This window comes from Homo sapiens, chromosome 10 (genome assembly GCF_000001405.40).
Source record: "Homo sapiens chromosome 10, GRCh38.p14 Primary Assembly".
NCBI classification, from domain to species: domain Eukaryota; kingdom Metazoa; phylum Chordata; class Mammalia; order Primates; family Hominidae; genus Homo; species Homo sapiens.
Window position 1 is genome coordinate 130,919,425 of NC_000010.11, and position 6,708 is coordinate 130,926,132.

General features: G+C 43.6%; 2 annotated features.

Moving 5' to 3' along the window:
• Positions 4,789 to 4,989: a silencer, noted in NCBI's record as "peak1130 fragment used in MPRA reporter construct". NCBI's record gives its function as "represses an SCP1 promoter by STARR-seq MPRAs in K562 erythroleukemia cells {active_cell/tissue: K562}" and the evidence as "EXISTENCE:reporter gene assay evidence [ECO:0000049][PMID:32103011]".
• Positions 5,108 to 5,608: an enhancer, noted in NCBI's record as "H3K4me1 hESC enhancer chr10:132722795-132723295 (GRCh37/hg19 assembly coordinates)". NCBI's record gives its function as "activates a minimal SCP1, AML or CMV promoter by ChIP-STARR-seq in primed H9 embryonic stem cells {active_cell/tissue: H9 hESC(primed)}" and the evidence as "EXISTENCE:reporter gene assay evidence [ECO:0000049][PMID:30033119]".

The following is a 6,708-nucleotide window of genomic DNA, read 5'->3' on the forward strand; positions in this document are numbered from 1 at the left end:
AAGTGGCTCCTTCCTACTGGAAACTACTAATTGTTTTTCTGCCTTTGTGGTGTTGCCTTTTCCAGAATGTCATATAATTGGGGTCATAAAGTCTGTAGTCTTTTCACATCGGCTTCTTTCATTCAGTAATGTGCATTCAAGTTTCCTCCACATCTTTCTGCGCTTTGATAGCTCACTTATTTTCATCTCTGAATAGTATTACAGTGAATGAATGGATGGGCCACAGTTTGTTTATCCATTCACCTACTGAAAGACATCTTGATTGCTTCCAGTTCTGGGCAATTATGAATGGAGCTGCTATAAACATTTGCATTCAGAGTTGGGCTTAATCATAAGTTTTCAAATCAGTTGGGTAAGTTCCTAGGAGTGTGATTGCAGAACTCTGTGGCATGGCTGTGTTTTGCATTGTGAGAAACTGCTAACCTGTCTTCCACAGTGGCTGCACACTTTGCATTTTGCAACCAATGAGAGCTCCTGTGGCTTCACATCCTTGTCAGCACTGGGCATTGTCAGTTTTGGATTTTAGCCCTTCTAATGTGTGTGTAGTTGTCCTTGTTGTTGTTTAATTTGCAATTCACTAATAAATGATGTTGAGGCTTGGCATTGTGGCTCACATCTGTAATCTTAGAACTTTGGGGGGCTGTGGTGGGAGGATCACTTGAGCCTAGGAGTTTGATACAGCCTGGCAACATAATGAGACCTCATCTCTACAAAAATTTTGAAAAATTAGCTTGGCATGGTGGCGCATGCCTGTGGTCCCAGCTACTTGGGAAGCTGAGGCAGGAGGATCACTTGAGCTCAGGAGATTGAGGCTGCAGTAAGCCATAATTGCACCCCCACACTGCAGCCTGGATGATAAAGCGAGACCCTGTCTCAAAAAAAAAAAATGATGTTGAGCATCTTTTCTTTTTTTTATTTGTTTATTTATTTTTTTGAGACAGTGTTTCACTCTGTTGCCCAGGCCGGAGTGCAATGGCGTGATCTCGGCTCACTGCAACCTCTGCCTCCTGGATTCAAGCGATTCGATTTTGAGCATCTTTTCATATGTTTATCTGCCATCTGTATATCTGCTTTGGTGAAGTGTCTGCTTGGTGTTTCTGCCTAATTTAAAAACTGTGCTTCTTTTTCTCATTATTGAGTTTTGAGAGTTCTCTATGTATTTGGATATTGACCTTTATCAGATGTGTATTTTGATATCAGCCTTTATCAGATGTGTATTTTGATATCAACCTTTATCAGATGTGTATTTTGATATCAACCTTTATCATATGTGTATTTTGATATCAACCTTTATCAGATGTGTATTTTGATATCAACCTTTATCAGATGTGTATCTTGCAAATATTTTCTCCCAGCTTGTGGCTTGGCTTTTCCTTCTTTTAATAGTTTCTCTCACAGAACAAAGTTTTAAAATGTTAATAAAGTCTAACTCACTAATTTTTTCATTCATGGATCATGTTTTTGGTGTCGTGTCCAAAAACTCAAAGTCGCACAGCTTTTCTTATATGTTTTCTTCAACATATTTTATAATACGGCATTTTATCAGCTTTCTGATACATTTTGAATTAATTTTTGTGAAAGTTGTAAGGTCTGTGCCTAGATTTTTTTTCACACATTGACATCCAGTTGTTCTAACATCGTTTGTTGAAAAGGCTATGCTTTTTTTCCATTGAATTGCCTTTGTTCCTTTGTCAAAAATTAGTTGACTGTATTTGTGTGGATTTATTTCTGGGCTCTCTATTCTGTTCCATTGATCTATGTGTCTATTCTTTCACCAATACTGTGCTGTCTTGATTACTGTCTTATTGTCAGGTACCGTCAGTCCTCCAATATATTTTTTTTAAGTATTGTGTTGGCTAGTCTTGGTCTTTCATCTTACCATATAAGCTTTAGGACCAGTTTGTCAGTATCCACACAGTAACTTGCTGGTGTTGTGAATAATACTGTGCTTTATCTATAGATCAATTTTGGAAGAATTGGCATCTTAAAAATATCAAGTTTCCAGCCCATGAACAGGGAAGTTTTCTCCATTCATTTAGTTCTTTGATTTATTTTATTGGAGTTTTGTAGCTTTCCACGTGTATTTCCCGTACATCTTTTGTTAGTCTGGTTACCTTTCTCAGGGCCCTGCATCAGCATACTCTCTGGGAGGATTTCAAAGAGTGACAGCTCCCTCTCCACCCCTCCATCCTGGCTTGGACCTCCCCACCCCGGGGGAAGCCTGCTGTCATCTACAAGGCATTGGACCTCCCAACCCCCGGGGAAGCCTACTGTCATCTACAAGGCAGGCAATTGCCCCTTCAGCACCTGCATCAAGGTGTGTAGCACAAGCCACATGGTAATGGACTTATTGTTGTTATTGGTCCCCTTTGATGACAGGCTTGGGCTTTGTGAGGACAGTAACTATAGTGTTTATTTCCACATCTCCATGGGCACTTAGAGCCTGCCACAGAATTTTGATTCAGGCTTCAGGACCCCAAAGTGCAAGCACAAAAAATTCAATGGCTAGAGATGGTAAGAACTTCACTTCTGTCGACATCCTGTCTCCAACTGCCTTGGAGAAGAAAGTCCATTCCTCTATTTCATATTGCAAATCTCATGCACATATTTCTCTTTGGATGACTCTAACTCAGCACTGTACAGAGAAGGGACTCCTGGGAAATTCACACAAAATTTGGCTGCGTTTGCAATGTAGCAACTGCATTTGCAATGTATTCAGAAAGGGTGGTAGTGATGCCATATTGACAAGAGAAGCTGCACAGCAACTGCGCATTAGTGCCACTTCTCTAAAGCTATGGCTTTGTCTCCAGATGATCTCTGTAAAAACGCACATACATCATTTGCAAGGAGAGGCGCCACAGACAAGAGACCGCTAGGGCCGTACAGATCAATAAAGCAAAACTTGCAGGTGAAACAAGCCCTTCTTAGCTGCTTTTCTGTAGGCATTTTTCTCCACTAGCAATGCCACATAGGGACATGCTAGATACATTACGGGAGAAGCATCATATTGGATGGTGATATTTCCTCTCTGAACATTATTACTAAAAGCTGTGTGATCAGCAGATCCTACGTAAAACTATCCAAACTCTTAGACCATTGCATTTGCAGTAAAAGCAATCGTTTTTATCCTACTTCCTTCACAGAATACTATCATTTTCATAAAGAAGGAGAAAATTCTGCCTTGCTTATGAATCTATCATTTGGATTGCTTTTTGGTTTTATGTGGATGTATTTCTTATATTTAACTTGACCAAGATGTATTGAAAATTGGGTGACTAATATGAGTAGCATAAAACCTGAAAGTCAGGGCTAAGTTAATAACGTTCTTGGGAAAAAATATGTCCTCTGTCACACCATTGTCAGTAACCGAACTCTGGACAGAAAAACTGAACTCTTTGGAATGGATTATTATTATAAAGACCTTTGTTTTCCAGGTAGAAACTCTCTGAGCAATTCAACATTCAGGTGGGGCTGTGGACTCTAAAGAAACCCATGAAAAGTTGGCCTATTGTATGTTCTTCACATGGAACCATAAAGAGGCTCATATAGTCTGATCAATAGAAACCTTCCCTGGAGTAGAGGTTCAGGTCAGCACAAATACCTGGGGAACACTCTGCTTGGATAGTTTTTTTTTTTTTCACTTAGCATCAGAGAGGATTATAATATCATCTCTCCTCAGGAGTAAAGGAAAGACATTTTTATCAATAGGTTTAGCAAAATAGTTCCATCCTGTGAGCCTCTGGCTTTCCCATACTGTACACATATGTGAAATCACACATAGGAACCAAATTAGTAGAACATCGGAAGCATAGTCAGTACGGTCTAATTTGTAAAATGTCCTTTGAGCTTTGAAAGGTTGAGATGCTGAGAACCTTGTCCTGTTGTGCTAGAATTGGACAAATCAATAACCCGGTACATGTGGTACTGGATGCTGCAATACTTGCTAATACCAGAGTATTGGAGCAACCACCTATGCAGGGGTAAAGTTGGGATTTGGAGGAGCTCAGGTACAAGCATTCCAATACCCGATCATCTGATACCTGAACCAAATCTGTTCTTTAAAGGGTTTCTGAATTCAGTATCTCCTTCAAATTCCCAGCACACACAGGATTCAACCCGTTCTAGAATATAAGTAAACTATTTATGTAAATAAATGCCGGGAAAAATGGAGCTTGGGTCACTTCTTCACATGCTCAGCAGCTTCCCCTTGTAGCTCCTTTGCTAGATTCCACGTGGATCCCTAATTCACAGTCTGCCCTTATTGGAGAAAACCCCCTTCCCCATCCACCCTTGGGGGATGTCTTGATTTGGCAGTCACATCTCCAACAAGTTAACAAGCTCGCTTAACTTGTGGCAGAGCCAGATGGTCGATGAGAGGTGTTAGCGATTTGTGAAAGTGAATTGCTGCCTTGATTCTCCACGGATGCTTTGTCTTGACTTCCTATAGCTCACATTTCCATTCATAGGCAGGTGGCCTTCCCTGAATCATTTGGTGATGGGTAGGTGCAAAAATCTCTCTCAGACTTGATTTGGGAAAAGCAGAAGACACTGGAATTTGGATCTTCAGGGAATGAGTGCGATCATGGAACTCAGAGTGCTGCCCCAGGATGGTGTTCAAAGACATTCCTGCTTCTTAGACGTGTTGGCAGCTTCTACCCCAGCCTGTGCTGTACAAAGGCCACAGGGCCCTAACAATTGCTTCTTTTCTAGAAAGATTTTATGCAGTTTCAGCTTTGCTTCAAGCTGCCTTTTCTTTACTTCCTCTTGTTTCTTTCAGACCGAAGCTAGGTAGGGTTTATCTTGAAACGTTTCAAGCCTCTCCCTGCCTCCCTTTCGTGCTGCCGATGGCTGTTTGGGCACTGGGATCACTGAAGTTCTGCGTCAGCACCATGGACAGCAGTCCCGGCCCCAGGCCGCAGGACCTGGGGAGGGGCCACATCACTAAAGGAGAATCAGCTGCCACTGGCTCCCTGGTGTTGGCACGGCTCAGGGGTGCCTGAGCTCCTTCTGCCACTCCACTGCAGACTTCTAAATGGCCTGGGTGAGGGGCTGCAGCAAGGTCCTTCTCCCTCAGCCAGTGGGAGAGCTCCTCAGAGACAGGGTGTCCACCTCACACCCTTCAACCCCCAGCACCCAGCCCTCCGTGGGGGCTCTCTGCAGTTTGTGGTCCAGGTTCTGTTCTCAGGACAAGCACAATCACCAACAGGCATCAGCTGCGCTGGCTCCTGGAAGTCAGCCCTGCGCCACGCCCCTGAGCAGGTAAAGGTCGGGTTTCAGGAGAATGGTGAGGAATGGGATGATGACTAGAGAGGCAGTCGAGCTGGCAGAGGATAGAGGGACAGAGAGCCAGTCAGGGCGGCTCTCACGAGCGGGACCACCTGCTCCTCCTCCTGACCATGGCTGGAGCCTGGGTCCCTGAAGTCACCAGACCTGCAGTTCTGTTGATTTTTGACACAGGATCAAAGAAGCCCATGCTCCTTCAAGTTAGTCCAGATTGCATGTGTAAGAGTGTAATTGTGCCAGTGTGTATGAGTGTGAGCCTGCATGAGGTGTCTGTGTGTCATTATGTGAGTGTGAGTGTGAAGTGAGTGAGCATGTCTATGAGTGTGAGTGTGTGAGATCTCTGTGTGTGATTGTGTGAGCGTGTGTATGAGTGTGAGTATGTTTGTGTGTGATTGTGTATGCGTGTGTATGAGTGTGATTGTGAGGTGTCTGTGTGTGTGGTTGTGTGAGCATGTGAATGAGTTAGCAGGTTGGAGGTGCCTGTGTATGATTGTGTGAGCATGTGTGTGAGTGTGAGCATGTTTGAGGTGTTTGTGATTGTATAAGCATGTGTATGAGTGTGATTGTGAGGTGTCTGTGTGTGTGAGAGCATGTGTGAAGTGTCTGTGTGTGATTGTGAGTGTGTATGAGTGTGAGTGTGTGAGGTGTCTCTGTGTGATTGTTACCATGTCTATGAGTGTGAATGTGTGTGAGGTTTCTGTGTGATAGTGTGTGTGTATGAGTGAGTGTGTGTTTGTGTGATTGTGTGAACGTGTGTATGAGTGTGATTGTTACATGTCTGTGTGAGTGTGTGAACATGTGAGGTGTCTGTGTGTGGTTGTGTGTGTGTATGAGTGTGAGCATGTGTGAGGTGCCTGTGCCATTGTGTGAGTGCAAGCATGTGTGAGGTGTTCTTGTGTGATTGTATGAGCGTGTGTATGAGTGTGATTGTGAGGTGTCTGCATGAGTGTGAGCATGTGTGTGAGGGTGTGAGGTGTCTGTGTGTGGTTGTGAGCATGTGTATGAGTGTGAGCGTGTGTGATGTGTCTGCGTGTGATTGTGTGAGTGTGTGTGAGTCTGTGAGGTGCCTGTGTGTGATTGTGTGGGTGTATGTGTGTGTGAGGTGCCTGTGTGTATTTGTGTGGGCATGTGTATTAGGTGTATGAGTTTGGGCATATGTGACCTGTCTGTGTGTGATTGTGTGAGCATGTGTGTATGTGTGAGATGTCTGTGTGTGTGAGAGTGTGTGTGAGGTGTCTGTGTTTGATCTTGTGGGTGTGTGTGTGTGTGAAGTGTCTATGTGCCATTGTGTGATCATGTATGTATGAGTGTGTGTGAGGTGTCTGTGTGTGATTGAGGGAGCATGTGTGTGTGTGAGAGATGTCTGTGTGTGATCGTGGGAGCATGTATGAGATGTCTGTGTGTGACTGTGAGAGTGTGTGCATA